At 38.3% G+C, this 19262-nt stretch overlaps 1 protein-coding gene across 8 annotated transcripts in view, besides 1 other annotated feature; it reads left to right on the top strand.

Moving 5' to 3' along the window:
• The window catches only part of BAZ1A (bromodomain adjacent to zinc finger domain 1A), a 122630-nt gene that overhangs the window by 65361 nt on the left and 38007 nt on the right, over positions 1 to 19262 (top strand). For 7 of the 8 annotated variants that reach the window (XR_007063978.1, NM_182648.2, NM_013448.3 and 4 more), the window contains 7 exons: positions 2462 to 2549; positions 7012 to 7146; positions 8807 to 8906; positions 9610 to 9776; positions 14235 to 14330; positions 15113 to 15251; positions 17079 to 17225. Coding sequence is in view for 7 of the 8 variants with exons in the window: in NM_182648.2 (NP_872589.1) it covers positions 2462 to 2549; positions 7012 to 7146; positions 8807 to 8906; positions 9610 to 9776; positions 14235 to 14330; positions 15113 to 15251; positions 17079 to 17225 (872 nt within the window). In the remaining variant the exon portion in view is untranslated. Of the gene's footprint in view, positions 1 to 2461; positions 2550 to 7011; positions 7147 to 8806; positions 8907 to 9609; positions 9777 to 14234; positions 14331 to 15112; positions 15252 to 15299; positions 15663 to 17078; positions 17226 to 19262 lie in introns of those variants that run through there. The other variant, XM_011536376.4, reaches the window with a different exon arrangement.
• Positions 17070 to 17270: a silencer, noted in NCBI's record as "peak2136 fragment used in MPRA reporter construct". NCBI's record gives its function as "represses an SCP1 promoter by STARR-seq MPRAs in K562 erythroleukemia cells {active_cell/tissue: K562}" and the evidence as "EXISTENCE:reporter gene assay evidence [ECO:0000049][PMID:32103011]".

Genomic DNA, 19262 nt, shown 5'->3' with positions numbered 1-19262 from the left:
TCATTAGTTTAAGATCTCTAGAGCATTCTACATTTTACTTTATATTCAAAAATAATATTCTAAAACTAATGTTTGATTATTCAAACTTCTAAAAATTTGTTTAGTTTATGGGCTAATGAATAGCAATTGTTGAGACTACAGATATTTTCCTTATTCACAGTTGAGTTTTTTTCTTTTGCCTTTAGTTCAGGATATGTTATTTACATAATGTAATTCCCTATTTAATATTTTTCATTTTTCTATTTACTTTTTGACTTATACTTTAAATATAATTATTCTGCTAGGCCATGGTTACAGCCTTGGTTAGCTCATTTTCTTCCTAATTGGTAAGCCAAAGAATTACAAGGTGAGAAAGTTATACTTCATAATAAAAGACTTAAGTGACTTATAGCTCTTTGTTAGCATCAAAAAATAGTACAATACTTTTTTTTAAATAAAGAGATGGTAATATTCCTCTAATAAAGAAGAAGACTTGATATGCTAGAGTAGCATTGACAAGTAGAACTTTCTTTTATAATGGAAATGTTACATGTATGCTGTCCAACAGCCATGTGTCACTATTGAGCATTTGAAATGTAGCTAGAAAGAATGAGGGAACTGAGTTTTTAATTTTATTTATAAATAAACAATATGTGGCTGGTAGCTACCATGTAAACTAATGAAGTCCTTCAGGACTAGTTTCTTCAGTAGTCAACAAGTAATTACCTTCTCTTTACCAGCTTGCAGAGATGTAGCAGAGTCCTTGTTCTCATGGAGCTTTAAGTCTAGGAAAAGAATATAGTCATCCTTGGTTATCTGTGTGGGAGGGAAATCTTTGAATGTTCAAGTTTCATAAAATGGTGTAGTATTTGCATTTAACCTACACACATCTTCCCATATACTTTAAATCATCTCCAGATTACTTATAATACCTAATACAATGTAAATGAAGTGTAAATCATTGTTATACTGTATTGTTTAGGGAATACTGACAACAAAAAAAGTCTGCACATGTTTAGTACAGATGCAGTTTTTATTTTCTCCAAATACTTTTGATCTAAGGATATGGAGGGCTAACTGTATACATTTTTGGGAAGGCCACTACTTAAAAATCATATATTGTTTATTCACTTATAGGAGCTTTTAACGGCTTTTTCTTGAAAGGAATATATTGAACTCAATTAAAACATTTACTTTTTCCCAAAAATACTTCTATTTCTTTTCTATTGGTTTTGTTTTGTTTGTGGTGGTGTTTGGTACTCTTGTGGTTGTTTTTAATTGGGGGGCAAGGGAGAATAAAAAACAGTATGTTTTAGAATATTAATTTTAAGCCTCTTTTAATTTTCATCCCACTAATTTGCTGGTTGTCATGAGATTTAAATACAAAATGTTTTAAAATTTGATACAAGCTATGTTCAATTTTGTTTACAATATCCACTTGAATATTGATTTGCAGCACTTAATACGATTTCTGGTAGTCTACTGATTTTAATTTTTTTTGTTTTGTTTTGCTTTGTTTTTTTGAGACAGAGTCTCACTCTGTCTCCGAGACTAGAGTGCAGCAGCACGATCTCGGCTCACTGCACCCTCGGCCTCCCAGGCTCAAGCGATTCTCCACCCTAAGCCTCCTGAGTAGCTGGGATTACAGGCATGTGCCACTACCGCCCAGCTAATTTTTTTTGTATTTTTAGTAGAGATGGGGTTTCACCATGTTGGCCAGGCTGGTCTCGAACTCCTGACCTCAAGTGATCCACCCTCCTCAGCCTCCCAAAGTGCTGGGATTACAGGTGTGAGCCACTGTGCCTGGCCTGATTTTAATTTTTAAGAGAATTTTAATGGTTATACTTGTAGGGGTAATCTAATTTTATAAAATTTGATTTACTCTCTATAGCATATTTTCCTTAAAGTTTATTTTCTTTTTTTTTGAGACAGAGTCTTGCTCTGTCGCCCAGGCTGGAGTGCACTGGTGTGATCTTGGCTCACTGCCTCCTGTGTTCATGCTGTTCTCCTGCCTCAGCCTCCCGAGTAGCTGGGACTACAGGCACGCGCCACCACACCCTGCTAATTTTTTGTATTTTTAGTAGAGACAGGGTTTCACCGTGTTAGCCAGGATTGTCTTGATCTCCTGACCTCGTCATCCACCCGCCTCGGCCTCGCAAAGTGCTGGGATTACAGGCGTGAGCCACTGCGCCCGGCTCTTGAAGTTTGTTTTCTCAGTGGCCCCTAAACAACAAATGCATATTGCTGTTTTTGTAATAGACTTTTTATAATAGATTCACTCATGTAGATCTTATAACTTCCTAATAAATACCTCTGTAAAAGTTTCTTGTAACTTCTACATAAATACTGTTAGAAGATGAAGTGTGTCCTTTGATTCCTAGGCTTTCTGAAATTCAGGTTACAAATTTACAGAGATTATGGAGTTGGGGTTGAACTCTTTGATGCTAACACTACCCCTCTTTGACTTCCTTGCCTCCTGTAGCCGGAGAAAACACCTATTTTCTCGTGATAAACTAAAGCTTTTTCTGAAGCAACACTGTGAACCACAAGATGGAGTCATTAAAATAAAGGTAATCAAATAATGAAATTATTTGTTGGAAGACAGAAAACAAAATGGGTAGTGTTATAAAGTTATAACATTGCTGAAATGTTATTTCAAAGATGATTAAAGATTGCTCTCTTTTAATCTGGAGCCAATTTTTAGTACTTCTGAAAAATATTGGATTAATTACTATTTCTAAAATTGCTGGAATCGCTAGGTGGTTCAGTTACTGCCACTTACAAAAAAGATCAACAAGGACAGGTGAAAATAGAAAATTTGGAAAAAGAAAAGTTATCAGGTGGGGCAACTATAGCTTCCTAATACCTATAGTGTGGTTCTCGCTTACAAAGAATAGACAGATTCAAAGAACAATGCTAAACAGAGCCTACTAGATAAGAGAACAATGTATAATAAAAAGAGCATTGGCTGGGCACCGTGACTTACTCCTGTAATCCTTGCACTTCACGAGGCCAAAGTGTACATACTGCTTGAGCCCAGGAGACCAGCCTGGAGACCAGCCTGGGAAACATGGCAAACCCTGTATCTACAAAAATTAGAAAAATTAGCTGGGTGTGGTGGTGGGTAACTGTAGTCCCAGCTACTTAGGAAGCTGAGGTAAAAGGATCACCTGAGCCTGGAGAGGTCAAGGCTGCTGTGAGCTGTGATTGTATCACTGCACTCCAGCCTGGACAACAGAGTGAGACCCTGTCTCAAAATAATATAATAATAATAATAAATAAAAATAAAAAGTATCATGCTAATACTAAGCAGACAGATTATATTTTGTCTATAACCATTAAGAGAGGAAAAAGTCAAGTTTTAGAGATTTCACATTGCACACTAAATAAAAAGTTAAATGGTAAAACTCAAAGTAATTTTTTAAAATGCAAAATATTCAACTTTTATTGGGATAAAGACACACTAAGTGAAAAAAGCAATAGAATGGAGCCTCATGCCTGTGGTCCCAGCTACTCCGAAGGCTGAGGTGGGAGGATCACTTGAGCCTGGGATTTCAGCCTATCAGAAGGTGGGAGGAGGGAGAGGATGGGAAAAAATAACTAATGGGCACGTGCTTAAAACCTGGGTGATAAAGTAATCTGCACAACAGAACCCCCATGACACGTTAACTATGTAACAAACCTGCAAATGCACCCCTGAACTTAAAATAAAAGTTTAAAAAGGCAGTAGCATGGGTTAGAGAGATGTATGCATTTGTCACAAATCAGCTCCTGCATGTGTTAGATTTGTGCATTTCACTGTATATAAATGTTTAAAAAGAAGAGAAACTTTAAAAAAAAGAATGAGTTTATGCGAAAAGTTAACATTTCAGGTCTCTAGAGGCAAGACTGATAAATAAAAATGGACACTTGGTTAACTATTGGAATAATAAAGTTAAATCTAACTCAAAAGAAATGAAACAAATTTTAATGTTAAACATGATGAGGTACTTAGGAGAAATAGAAAAAAAAATACCAAGGATGAGATTGAGCATAAACATAGGTTTTAAAATGTCATGAATAAGTGAGCCAAGATTGCGCCACTGCACTCCAGCCTGGGCAACAGGAGACTCCGTCTAAGGGAAAAAAAAAAAAAAAGTCATGTGTAGATTTCAAGGGCAAGCGCTGGGGGAAAAATACCTTGAGTAAATACAATGAAGAACGCAAATTAACTAGAGAAACATAAGCACCCCAGTAGGAAAATGGTCAAATAGATATGACTAAAATTCACCGTGGATGAAATATAAAAACTTGAAAACGTAAGATAGCGTCATCTGAAAAATAATTTTTTAAAAATGTGAGCATATTTATGTATCTGCCTTGATAAGATTCAATTATGCTCTGTCTATAGCATTATCAGGCAGCCATATTAAATGATGCTTACAAAAAGTTTTAATGATTTAGATACTTGCAATAAATGGCTAGAACAGTGCCTGACACGTGGTAGGCAATCGATATATGTGAATAGTTGTATATGTATATTGTAAACACCCAGTTGGCCAATTCCTCTAATTTGCAAAGATTTCTTACACATCAATGAGCAAAGATGACCCAACTGGAAAATGGTGATGAAAGACATCAGCAAATATTTCACCAAGGAAAAAGTCAATGAACATGGAAAGAAGCTCAACTTAATAAATAAATGGGAATTAAGGTCACAATAAACATTTTTCACTTAGAGTGTAATAGAAGATTATTAATGGATATGCTGGTGTATTAATCCATTCTCACACTGCTATAAAGACATACCTGAGACTGGGTAATTCATAAAGAAAAGAGGTTTAATCGGCTCACAGTTTTGTGGGCTGTACAGTCTTCTGCTTCTGGGGAGGCCTCAGGAAACCTACAATCATGGCGGAAAGCAAGCACATCTTCACATGGCTGGCAGGAGACAGCGTGAAGTGGGAGGTGCTACATTCAAACAACCAGATCTCATGAACAGCAAGGGGGAAGCCTGCTCCATGATTCAGTCACCTCCTACCAGGCCTGCCCTTTAACACTGGGGAGTACAATTCCACATGAGATCTGGATGAGGACACAGAGCCAAATTATATCAGCACAGCCCTTTGTGAGCAAGCACACAAAGTTTGATAACCAGTTTTGGTGAGCATAGACTGCTGTTAGGAGTACCTACAAGTACACAAAGATGTGGGTTTTGTGTATTGTGTGTATGAATAAGGAACTTTGGCAATTAATGTACTAAAACGTATTTTGGCCTTTATGAGTGTGATATTTGAGAAGAAACCACCCATGTGCTTTATTTCATATTTAAGGTGCAATTCTGTAGACAATTACATAATTCTATTCTGTAGATAATCCTGTTACCCCACATAATTCTGAGGTTATATGGGATGGAATATGATTATTTTAATGAAATCTTCTTTAATGGGAAATTTTGATAGATTCTTGATTTATTATCATGGCCAGAACTGGTGGAATTCCAGGTGTTTAAAGCTGTGCTCTACCTACAAAAATAATTATACACAAAATACCCTTTTCTGTTTTGTTAACTTTTTGTATTTTGTGTCATTATTTTCTCACACATTTCCTGAAAGGTATTTCAGTAAATGGCACTTGCTTTTGTTCACTTGTTTGAGAGGAAGAATGATGATCTTGGCCATTAGGTCAAAAATAACAAAAAGTCTAGGGTTGCACATGGATAAAAGGTAAGCAAGACTGGGCGCAGTGGCTTATGCCTATAATCCCAGCACTTTGGGAGGCCAAGGCGGGCAGATCACTTGAGGTCAGGAGTTCGAGACCAGCCTGGCCAACATGGTGAGACCCTGTCTCTACTAAAAATACAAAAATTAGCCAGATGTGGTGGCACGCACCTGTAATCTCAGCTACTCCGGAGACTGAGGCAGGAGAATCACTTGAACCTAGGAGGCAGAAGTTGCAGTGAGCCGAGATCATGCCACTACACTTCAGCCAGGATGACAGAGCAAGATTCTGTCTCAAAATAAATAAATACGTAAATAAAATTAAAAAAACTTTAAAAGGCAAACAAATTCTAGATACAAGGTAAAAGGAGATAAACTCTTGGATTTAATAATTATTCTAGAACCACACCATTTCTGGCAAGAATGAGTTTGACTTCTGAACTTAAATTCTTTGTTTAAACTTTATAGGAATTTGCAAGTATTTCTGCTTTTATCAAGACTAGAGGGATGTAATGGGAAATTTGATATATTAAGTAGTTAAGTTATTACTCTACCCTGGGAGGAAAATCTAAATAAATGTTCAGCAGTTGGCAAATGGTTAAGAAAAATTTATCAGGTTAATACAGTAGATTTTTAATGTTAAATATATGGATTGATTATTCATTTACATAGATTGATTCATTTATGTAGAAAATCTCACAAAATTTGTCAAAGCAAAACAAATTATTGTATAATATATATGTAATTTTGAAATACAAGAAACTGTACAACCATTCTTGAGGTATTTTATTGTAATCTTTGAATTGTGGTTTTCTTTTTGGTAAGGCTAATTAATTATATAGTGGAAAAAGGATTGGTTAAACCAACTAAAATGTATTTTACTACACAATAATGCATAAAATTCTAATGTTTTTATCCTTATCTTTTTTTTTTTTTTTTTTCCTGAGATGGAGTCTTACTCTGTCACCAGGCTGGAGTGCAGTGGCACGATCTCTGCTCACTGTAACCTCCACCTCCCAGATTCAAGTGATTCTCCTGCCTCAGCCTCCCGAGTACCTGGGACTACAGACGTGTGCCACCACACCCAGCTAATTTTTGTATTTTTAGTAGAGATGGGGTTTCACCATATTGGGCAGGATGGTCTCGATCTCTTGACCTCATGATCCGCCCGCCTCGGCCTCCCAAAGTGCTGGGATTACAGGCATGAGCCACTGTGCCCAGCCTATCCTGATCTTTTAACAGCATTAATAGTGGCCATATGACATGTTAGGGCATATCTGTATGTTGTTTACTAATGTGTTATTATTGTACCCTATGTCTTTGTTTTATTAAGGCATCATCTCTTTCAACGTATAAAATAGCAGAACAAGATTTTTCTTATTTCTTCCCTGATGATCCACCCACATTTATCTTCAGTCCTGCTAACAGACGAAGAGGGAGACCTCCCAAACGAATACATATTAGTCAAGTAAGTACAGAATTGATTAAAACTACATTTTCACTGTTAGTAAAACAGTATTCAGAATCAAGAAGTATGTTTGTCTCCCCTCACATCCATAGCCTAGAGGAAGAAACTCATTACCTCACCAAAAAGTATGTAAGTGTGTACTATATGTTGATAACTGCTCAGCAATGAGGCTTGTAGAAGTTTCAGGTGTGAATTAGATATGACTTTCATACCACAAGGATTCTATACCAAAGTGGAAGCAAGCACATAAGCAATTACTGAAATGTAAAGCAGGGAATAAACTATGGGATTGAAGTGTAGAATAAAGAGCAATAAATTCTGACAGGAAGAAGCTATAGGGGGCTTTAAAAAAGCAATAATGCAGCCGGGCACAGTGGCTCTTGCCTGTAATCCCAGTACTTTGGGAGGCTGAGGTGGGTGGACATTTGAGTCTTGGAGTTCTAGACTAGCCTGGACAACATGGCAAAACTCTGTCTCTACTAAAAATACAGGAGCCTGAGGCACGAGAATTGCTCAAACCCGGGAGGCAGACAGAGGCTGAGGTTGCTGTGAGCCCAGATCATGCCACATTGCACTTTAGCCTGGACAACAAAGCCAAGACTCCATCTTAAAAACAAAACAAAACAAAACAAAAAACTACACAAATTAATTAGGTTAGAGACATTCTTAGAAGAAATAAAATAAAAATAAAATTTGACATTGGCCACAAGAATTTTTCTGGTATGTCTTTTTTCTGCATCTTTTATATTTGATATTTACACCATCTAGTTTATAAAGTAAGCTGAGAGTTTGTTTTTCTAATGCATTTTTAAGGATCTTTCTATATATTACCAGTTTTTCCTGAGATATTCTTGTAATAATTTATAGAGCTACAGAGTTAACTCATGTTCTGTTTATTACTAAGATTAGAGTTATTAACAGTTCAGTAACACTTTTTTTTTTTTTTTTGAGATGGAGTCTCACTCTGTCACCCATGCTGGAGTGCAGTGGCACGATCTTGGCTCACTGCAACCTCCACCTCCTGGGTTCAAGCAGTTCTGCCTCAGCCTCCTGAGTAGCTGGGGCTGCCGGTGCATGCCACCACGCCCAGCTAATTTTTGCATTTTTAATAGAGATGGGGTTTCACCATGTTGGCCAGGCTGCTCTCAAACGCCCGACCTCAAGTATTCTACCCGCCGTGGCTTCCCAAAATGCTAGGATCACAGGCATGAGCCACTGTGCCCGGCCCAATTATACTTTAGAATAAAAACTCATTTTAGACTGGGCACAGTGGCTCACACCTGTAATCCCAGTACTTTGGGAGGCTGAGGTGAGTAGCCCACTTGAGGTCAGGAGTTCAAGACCAGCCTGGCCAACATGGCAAAACCCTGTATCTACTAAAAATACAAAAAAAAATTAGCCAGGTGTGGTGGCACATGCCTGTAATCCCAGCTACTCGAGAGGCTGAGGGAGAAGAATCACTTGAGCCCAGGAGGCAGAGGTTGCAGTGAGCCGAGATCACACCACTGCACTCCAGCCTGGGGGATAGAGCGAGACTTTGTCTCAAAAAAATAAAAAAATCATTTTAGTATAAAGAAAGTGTAATTGGTGAGAGTTTTAAATTTTTTGCTTTTTATTCTTACTATAAGAACCAGGCATACTATTTTGGTTTGTTTTTTAGGAGGACAATGTTGCTAATAAACAGACTCTTGCAAGTTATAGGAGCAAAGCTACTAAAGAAAGAGATAAACTTTTGAAACAAGAAGAAATGAAGTCACTGGGTGAGTTTTAACATTGTTTCCAAAAGCTAATTAGGAATAAGAAAGAATATTTCTCTGTGCCTGAGTGGGGGATGTTTCCGAAATGGCATGTTTCTGGTTAATTGTTTTGAAGTGCAGTTATTTTTTCTATCAGATAACTATTGTTTATTTGTTTGTTTGCTTGTTTTATAAATAAGACCGCTTCATCTCTTTAAATTTCATGGTCTTGCATATTCCCTATTAAATTGCTTAGTGCTAGATTAAGCAGAAGTTTGAGTTTCCAGGGCTTACAAACTGGGGCTATTTTGTTTGATTCACACAGCCTTTTAAAACATTGCTTCCCAAACTTGAATGTACATATGAATCACTTGGGGATCTTGTCAAAATGATGAAGATTCTAAATTAGTAGGTCTGGTGGGGGAATGAGATTCTGCATTTTTTAACAAGGTGATGATAACCTTGCTGCTGGTCTTCAGATCACACTTTGGGTATTAGGGCTTTCAAAGGCACAGATATGTTTGTCCCAGTACTGTAGTTTGTCATAAACTTAGCCAATTTGCTTTTCCTGTTTTAATAATCTGCTGGCTCCCTGTAGGAATTTTAAGAGTCTCTACTAATCTCATTTAACTTTAAATTATTTCAAGGATTCTGTTGTTACATCAAAAAAATTGCCAAGTGTTATTTTGTCTATATATATAGTTCTAAGTTTGATTTTTCTTCACAGCTTTTGAAAAGGCTAAATTAAAAAGAGAAAAAGCAGATGCCCTAGAAGCGAAGAAAAAAGAAAAAGAAGATAAAGAGAAAAAGAGGGAAGAATTGAAAAAAATTGTTGAAGAAGAGAGACTAAAGAAAAAAGAAGAAAAAGAGAGGCTTAAAGTAGAAAGAGAAAAGGTATTCATTTGAGTATATTAGCTATACTCTCTACATATAGTAATACTACTTTACATATCTACATCCATGGTTGATTTTTAAATGCTTTTACTACTTTCATTCACATTTATGAATGTGCATAGAAAGTTGATTGGTTTATCTCCCTTTTGCTTTGGAAAATTTAACATGCCTTTACGCATCACTTAAAACCTCTTTTAGAATGCAGTTCTAAATGATTTCATTGTTTAGATTTCCAAATTTAGGGAAGATGATATATGTAAAAGTTTATATGTAAACCTTTAAGAGGTAAAATACGCAGTTTGAAAAATAAAATAGGCCGGGTGCAGTGGCTCACACCTGTAATCCCAGCACTTTGGGAGGCCAAGGCAGGCAGATCATGAGGTCAGGAGTTCGAGACCAGCCTGGCCAGGACGGTGAAACCCCATCTCTACTAAAAATACAAAACTTAGCCGGGCATGGTAGTATGCGCCTGTAATCCCAACTACGAAGGAGGCTGAGGCAGGAGAATCGCTTGAACATGGGAGGTGGAGGTTACAGTGAGCCAAGATCACGCCACTGCACGCCAGCCTGGGCAACAGAACAAGACTCCGTCTCAAAAAAAAAAAATGAATAATGTTCTTATCCTACTTGAAAAATAAGGTGTAATAATAGTGTTTCAGCAAATCTTTGATTGTGGTTTCCAGTGATACATATTCCTTAGAGAATTCTATAGCTGGTTTCCTCCAAAGTCAGCCATTTTCAGAGATTTCTTGGGATATTCACAAGTAGCCTTAGAGGATCATATTACATGCTCTGTGCTCATTTTAGTTGTCTATCGTCTCCCTTGAATTTTGTTTTTTAATTATACTTTAAGTTCTAGGGTACCTGTGCACAATGTGCAGGTTTGTTACATAGGTATACATGTGCCATGTTCATTTGCTGCACCCATTAACTCATCATTTACATTAGGTATTTCTCTTAATGCTATCCCTCCCCCCTCCCCCCACCCCACAACAGGCCCTGGTGTATGATATTCCCCATCCTGTGTCCAAGTGTTCTCATTGTTCAAGTCCCACCTATGAGTGAGAACATGCGGTGTTTGGTTTTCTGTCCTTGTGATAGTTTGCTGAGAATGATGGTTTCCAGCTTCATTCATGTCCCTGCAAAGGACATGAACTCATCCTTTTTTGTGGCTGCATAGTATTCCATGGTGTATATGCACCACATTTTCTTAATTCAGTCTATCATTGATGGACATTTGAGTTGGTTCCAAGTCTTTGCTATTGTGAATAGTGCCACAATAAACATATGTGTGCATGTGACTTTATAGTAGAATGATTTATAATCCTTTGGGTATATACCCAGTAATGGGATCGCTGGGTCAAATGGTACTTCTGGTTCTAGATCCTTGAGGAATCGCCACACTGTCTTCCACAATGGTTGAACTAGTTTACACTCCAGCCAACGGTGTAAAAGCATTCCTATTTCTCCACATCTTCTCCAGCATCTGTTGTTTCCTGACTTTTTAATGATTGCCATTCTAACTGCTGTGAGATGGTATCTCATTATGGTTTTGATTTGCATTTCTCTGATGACCAGTGATGAGCATTTTTTCATGTGTCTTTTGGCTGCATAAATGTCTTCTTTTGAGAAGTGTCTGTTCATGTCCTTCGCTCATTTTTTGATGAGGTTGCCTGGGTATCACCAGTGGAGCCTGCAGAACAGCAAATATTGCAGAACAGCACATATTGCTGCCTTATCCTTCCTTTGGAAGCTTTGTCCCAGAGGGGCACCTACCCATATGATGTGTCAGTTGGCCCCTACTGGGAGGTGTCTCCCAGTTAGGCTGCACAGGGGTCAGGGACCCACTTGAGGAGACAGTCTCTCTGTTCTCAGAGTTCAAAAACCATGCTAGGAGCTGCCAGACAGGGATGTTTAAGTCTGTAGAAATTTCTGCTGTCTTTTGTTCAGCTACACCCTGCCCCCAGCGGTGTGGTCTACAGACGCAGCAGGCCTTTCAGAGCTGCGGTGGGCTCCGCCCAGTTTGAGCTTTCCCAGCAGCTTTGTTTACCTACTCAAGCCTCAGCAATGGCGGACACGCCCCTCAGCAGTGGCGGACGCCCCCTCCCCCTGCCAGGCTACTGCCTCGCAGGTCGATCTCAGACTGCTGCACTAGCAGTGAGCAAGGCTTTGTGGGCATGGGACCCGCTGAGCCAGGCACGGGATATAATCTGCTGGTGTGCTGTTTGTTAAGACTGTTGGAAAAGCGCAGTATTTGGGCAGGAGTGTCCCGATTTTCCAGGTGCAGTCTGTCAAGGCTCCCCTTGGCTAGGAAAGGAAAATCCCCTGACCCCTTGCACTTCCCGGGTGAGGCGATGCCCGCCCTGCTTCGGCCCGCCCTGCTTTGGCTCGCCCTGCTTCGGCTCGCCCTCCATGGGCACCAGTCCCAATGAGATGAACCAGGTACCTCAGTTGGAAATGCAGAAATCACCGTCTTCTGCATTGATCACGCTGGGAGCTGCAGACTGGACCGGCCGTCTTGGAACGGAAACCAGATGTTTGTCAAATAGGCCATGAAGGTGGTGCAGGAAGTCTAATATAAGTTTACTCCAGAAAACATAGAGGACAGAAAAATCACCAGAAATCTGATGGTAACATTAGAGATAGAATTAACACTTTTTTTTTTGAGATGGAGTGTCACTCTGTTGCTCAGGCTGAAGTGCAGTGGCTTGATCTGGGTTCACTGCAACCTCTGCCTCCCAGATTCAAGCAATTCTCCTGCCTCAGCCTCCCGAGTGGCTGGGACTAGAAGTGCCCACCACCACGCCTGGCTAATTTTTGTATTTTTAGTAGAGATGGGTTTCACCATGTTGGCCAGGCTGGTCTCAAACTCCTGACCTCAAGTGATCTGCCCGCCTCGACCTCCCAAAGTGCTAGGATTACAGGCATGAGCCACCGCACCTGGCCAGAGAGAATTAACACTTTGATTTGTTTATTTCTAGTCTTTATCCTCTGCCTTAAAAAAACAGATCACTCACCATTTAAAGTTTTATATGCTTTTTTTATCTAACATGATCATAAACATTCTTTCATGTTATTAAATAATCTTAAGTGGAATTTTTAATGACTGCATAACTCATTAAATAGTCATAGCTAAGTGCTTTAAATAATACTGCTGTGTTCAAATTTCTGAATAAAGTCTTTTTTTTTGGACTATGTCCCAGGATAAATTTGTAGAAGTAGAATAAATCAAAGATTAAGAATATTTTTAAAACTTTCTATACATACACATAACTAAGTATTTCCCAAGCATGTGCTTATTTACACTGTTAGCAACAATGAATTAGAATGTTAACCTTATTTGATCCTATAAGAATTATTTCTGAGGTTGGGGGTGGATAATTTATTTAAGCAGACTATTCAAGTTACAGCAAGTTCCGTAACTATCTAGGCGTTTTATGTTGAAAATTTGATAAGTGCACATCTGTTAACCTCTGTTCTTACTAAATTTCAAAGAAGAGAATAATAACATATTAAGTATACTTACTGGAAAAAATAGTAAAATATTTGATTTACACTGTTTTATTAGAGACATTTAGCAGTTAATATTTATCTTGCAATTTCAAACACCAGAATCAAAAAGTAAGGGTTTCAAAAGACCGAGTAAGAGAAATAGCCTGAATTATAAGAAATAAGTCCATCTATTCTAATATTGTTGCTTTTAATTATTGTTCCCTCTTTGTATCTCTAGGCTGTTATCAGATTCAAATGAATCTTGAAAATGACAAATTTATTACAAACATAAGGGGAAGTTTCATTTTAGGCAGTCTAATAATTTATTTTGCTAGGATCTTATTGATAGGAAGTAGAGGGAAAGCTATAGATCAAGTCAGATTAAATTAATATTTATTCAAGAGCTGCCCAGGCGGGAGTGCAGTGGTGTGATCTCAGTTCACCCCAACCCTCTCCTCCCGGGTTCAAGGCTTCTTCTGCCTCAGCCTCCTGAGTAGCTGGAACAACAGGTGCATGCCACCACGCTCAGCATGCATATATGTGTGTGTGTGTGTGTGTGTGTGTGTATGTATATGTATATGTGTTTGTATTTTTAGTAGAGATGGAGTTTCGCCATTTTGGCCAGGCTGGTCTCAAACTTCTGACGTCAAGTAATCCACCTGACTCTGACTCCCAAAGTGCTGGGATTACATGTGTGAGCCACTGCACTCGGCCCATTTTCAGTCTTTATAGTATTATTTTGATAGGTATTATTTTGATCAGTGGTTCTAAAACTTTAGCGTGTATTAAAAACCACCAGAAGGGCTTGCTAGAACACCAGTTGCTAAGTCCTAACCTCAGAGTTACTGCTTCAGTAGGTATGGGGTAAGGTCCAAGTATTTGCATTTCTAACAAGTTCTCAGGAGATGCCGATGCTGCCATATAAATTTCTTACATGAATTGTTATTAACTTTTAAAAATTTCTAGGAAAGAGAGAAGTTACGTGAAGAAAAGCGAAAGTATGTGGAATACTTAAAACAGTGGAGTAAACCTAGAGAAGATATGGAATGTGATGACCTTAAGGTATAAACATGTTATGTGATGTTTAGCACACATAGGTTTTACATGTCCTATGTGGCTTTGCTGATGAAATCATTCTTATTTAATAGCAGCCTCTTCTCTTTATATTTAACCGAGAGGAAATAGCTAGTTAAGCAAATGTTCACACTTAGAATTCCAAGGTAGCATTGTTAGTGTTTTATAATCAGCTTTGATAATGATTCTTATTCTGTAGAAATAATAGGTCAGTTTGTGTGATCCTTAATAATCCAAAAACCACTGTAGCCAGGCATGCATTTAGCTTGATTGCTAGGTAAGGATTCTGCCTATTTCCAGAAATGGCCAAAGTGTCCAAATCAAACTCATTCAACTTGGCTTATAAAGAATAATTTCAGTAAATCAAAATTAGTAGATGGTAGATTAATTATGTTCCAAATCATAAGGAGCTACTACATTGAAGGTAGTATTTCACAGCTGATTTGACTTCAGAATGTGGGTTAAGAGACTCTTACTAGGAAATATAGTCAGAAATACACTCAGCCTAAAGTTATGTTCTTAGTATAAGGAAGAAAATGTTCCTTTCTCCCGGTCCCTTGTCAGGAACTGTGATTTAGTAAAGTTGGAACAAGTTCAGGACATCTATAATTTTAGAAGTTTCAAAGGTGATTGTGATAAACAGCAAGGGTTGAGAACCAGTAGCTTACAAATAATACTTCTTAATAGTTAGGTAAAAAGTATGTCATCTCTGCCTTTTAAGTTTTCCTGCTCTTGGTTCAAATAGTTATATAAATTGTTCAATATTTCAGGAACTTCCAGAACCAACACCAGTGAAAACTAGACTACCTCCTGAAATCTTTGGTGATGCTCTGATGGTTTTGGAGTTCCTTAATGCATTTGGGGAACTTTTTGATCTTCAAGATGAGTTTCCTGATGGAGTAACCCTAGGCAAGTGCTTTAGTTATCTATTGCTACATTATAGTTCATCCTAAAATTAGTGGCTTTAAAAAAACAAGCCACCTTGTAAAGTTCTGTGGGGGCACTGGAGTTGGGATCTCTCTGGTCTGGCTAGATGTTCAAAATGGCTTCTTCTCACACAGGTCTGGTGCCTCGGTCCTCTTCATGTGGCCTTTCATTTCATCAGAGTATCTCATACTTATTATGTGGCACCTGGGGGCTCTAAGAAGCAGGAAGCAGAAACTGCTAGCCCTCTTAAAGCCTAGGCCTGGAATTGGCACAGCCTTACTTCTGCCACATTCCATTGGTCAGAGCAGTGAGAGGCCACCGTGGGATTCAACAGGATTGTGGAATAGACTCCACTTCTTGAGCAGGGAGTGGTATATGGGTGTTTGCAGACAGGTTATTGCCTACCTTTATTTGTAATTCTCTTTGGCCTGTGTACTTATATACTTTTACTTTGTATAAACATTTATAATGAGTATAGTATAAGGAAAGATTTGGATCAAATTTTGAATTTTTGGCTGTCACATGGTAAAATAATTTTCTTAAAATCCATGTAGAGACTTTGAAATAGAGAATTATAATGCCACTCATTTTTTTTTTTCTTGAGACAGTCTTGCTCTGTCACCTAGGCTAGAGTGCAGTGGCGCAATCTCGGCTCACTGCAAGCTCCACCTCCAGGGTTCAAGCGATTCTCCTGCCTCAGCCTCCCAAGTAGCTGGGACTACAGGCACCCGCCACCATGCCCAGCTAATTTTTTTCTTTTTTTTTTCTTTTTTTCTTTTTTTTCTTTTTGAGACGGAGTCTCGCTCTGTCGCCCAGGCTGGAGTGCAGTGGCGTGATCTTGGCTCACTGCAACCTCCACCTCCGGGGTTCAAGCAATTCACTGCCTCAGCCTCCCAAGTAGCTGCAATTACAGGCACCCATCACCAAGCCCAGCTAATTTTTGTATTTTTAGTGGAGACAGGGTTTCACCATTTTGGCCAGGCTAGTCTTGAACTCCTGACCTTGTGATCTGCCCGCCTCGGCCTCCCAAAGTGCTGGGATTACAGGCGTGAGCCACCACACCTGGCCCAATTTTTTTGTATTTTTAGTAGAGATGAGGTTTCACCATGTTAGCCAGGATGGTCTCAATCTCCTGACCTCGTGATCCACCCACCTTGGCCTCGCAAAGTGCTGGGATTACAGGCGTGAGCCACTGCGTCTGTCCTATAATGCCACTCTTATTTTAATAAAAGTATATTCTTTAGGAGGGCTTTCAAATTCTTTTATTTCTCCTTATGAGGTGGATGAAGCAAGAATCATTGTGTCTTATAGATCAAGGAGGTCTAAACAGTGCTGGTTTAGGTGAGATGAATTAGATAAAAAACATTTATTTATGACTTAGACATAATATTAGGATTAAAACCTAATGCGGATAATGACCTCTTCTATGCCCTATTTGCACATACATAGCCCTCAGGAACAGTGGCACAATAACAAATATTTGCATTGTTCAGATTAGAATAAAATTGTAATTTTTAAAATGTGCCTTAATTTGTGCCTTAAATTTAAATTTAAATGAAATATGTTGATCTATTGAGGCTATTTTGACTTACTTGAATGAGGTGACTTTGGCTTACGATTTTATTGTATTTTATTGTAATCATTATAAATTCTTATTTTGGCTTGGATAATACTTGGTTATACTTTCATAAATTGATGCTTAAGAAAATAGTTGCACATACTATTGTTGATTACATGTTTATTCCAGTGGAGTTGTTTTTTCAGTACATGAACAGAACTTTAAATTCATTTTAAACATTTTATTCACAGAAGTATTAGAGGAAGCTCTTGTAGGAAATGACAGTGAAGGCCCACTGTGTGAATTGCTTTTTTTCTTCCTGACTGCAATCTTCCAGGCAATAGCTGAAGAAGAAGAGGAAGTAGCCAAAGAGCAACTAACTGATGCTGACACCAAAGGTCAGAGTTCAACATTATTGCTGATTGAACCATAGTAGTTTTGTAGCGAAACTAATTTTTGAGGGCCAATTTTAAGTTAAATTGGCTTTTATGCTTATAAAATATAGTTGTTCAGGTTACCTGATGTTGAATCATATGCTAACAACAAATGGATTATGTTACAAAAATTTTGTTTTGATATAACCTGTGTCTGACAACCTTAAAGATATTTTCCCTCAGTCTATCTTGCTTTTATTCCTTTAGACTTTTCCTATGATTTAGGAGCATTACAGATTTCATTGACCAGTATCTGTAATTCCAAGAGATTCTGCTAACTAGCACTCTAGCACTGTTTCTTTGTTTTTTTGGGGTATTTTTTGGCCCTCAACTAAGGAAATACTTTTTTTTTTTTGAGATGGAGTTTCGCTCTGTTGCCAGGCTGGAGTGCGTTGGCGTGATCTTGGCTCACCACAACCTCCACCTCCCAGGTTCGAGCAATTCTCCTGCCTCAGCCTCCTGAGTAGCTGGGATACAGACGCCCGCCACCATGCCCAGCTAATTTTTGTATTTTTAAAATAGAGACGGGGTTTCACTGTGTTGGCCAGGCTGGTCTCGAACTTCTGACCTCAGGTGATCCACCCGCCTTGGCCTCCCAAAGTGCTGGGATTACAGGCGTGAACCACTGCGCCTGACCAGGAAATACTTTAATTGTAATTAATACTTTAAAATGAAAATACTACTGCTGATTTCATTTTAGATCTGACAGTTTTTACATCAGAGTTAAATAAAATTTTACTTCTGAGTTTGAACTAGATAATTTGCCCTTTAAGTTCTGCACGCTTAAATATCTGGAGTCAGTGTATGGTACGTGTTAATGTAGGAATAATTCTTGAGGCAAACCTTTTCATATTTTTAAAACAGTATGTTCACTATTTTGTTTAGGATTTACCTCAGTCATAGGAAATGTTAAGCATTTCTAATAAGAGATTGATTTGGCCTCCTGAATAATACCTTGAGCTTTGCCATATATGAGATTTAGGACCAGAAACTTGATTAAACAATACTTGAGTGTGTTGCATAAAAATTCACAGTAAAACAGAACTGTTAGGAGACATCTTGATATCAGAATATTGGTACAGAAAGATGGGACATTCCTCCAGTCAGATAGTTTTGTTGACCTTAGATAATTCAGGATCATCTTCCTTCATGCCTGGTCTCTGAAGCAACAGGATATTGATGAGTGTGCATTGATGTTTGTTGCCTTTTGATTTTACAGCCTGAGTTCAAGCAAAAATATATTTATATCTAGCTTGAGTGCTAACCACCATAGGTCCCTTATTAAGACCATTTTAAGCAATATGACCCCTATTGTCACCTCAGATAATTTAGTCAATTAAATGATAATTCTTTTAGCTATTATATTTATTAGTGGTCAACAGCATTATAGGGTTATTGATCAAATTCTAACAATACAAGACATAAAGCTGTATTTAATTCCAGATTTGAATTTTGTAGTTTTGGAAGTCATGGTGGAAAACAAAAGTACGGTAAAAAGGAAATAGTATGGGAAAATCAGTATAAAGGAAAAATATATATTAAGCAATGGTTGGTGTTTGAATTGCCATTACTACTCTCTTCTCTTCTCTTTTCTCTTCTCTTTTCTTTTCTTTTTTGAGACAGAGTTTCGCTCTTGTTGCCCAGGCTGGAGTGCAATGGCACAATCTTGACTCACTGTAACCTCCGCCTCCCGGGTTCAAGCGATTCTCCTGTCTCAGCCTCCTGAGTAGCTGGGATTACAGGTATGCGCCACCATGCCCAGCTAATATTGTATTTTTAGTAGAGACAGGGTTTCTCCATGTTGGTGAGGCTGGTCTCGAACTCCCGACCTCAGGGTCTGCCCGCCTCGGCCTCCCAAAGTGCTGGGATTACAAGCTTGAGACACCGCACCCAGGTGCCATTACACTTTCATTATTGATCTATGAGTTTTTTAAATAAGTATTCCCTATATAGAACTATGTATTAATATAAGATGTATCTCTCTAAGTAAGTATTGGCCAC

The sequence above is a fragment of the Homo sapiens genome, chromosome 14 (genome assembly GCF_000001405.40).
Source record: "Homo sapiens chromosome 14, GRCh38.p14 Primary Assembly".
In the NCBI taxonomy this organism is placed as follows: domain Eukaryota; kingdom Metazoa; phylum Chordata; class Mammalia; order Primates; family Hominidae; genus Homo; species Homo sapiens.
This window is presented reverse-complemented; position numbering and strand designations above follow the sequence as displayed.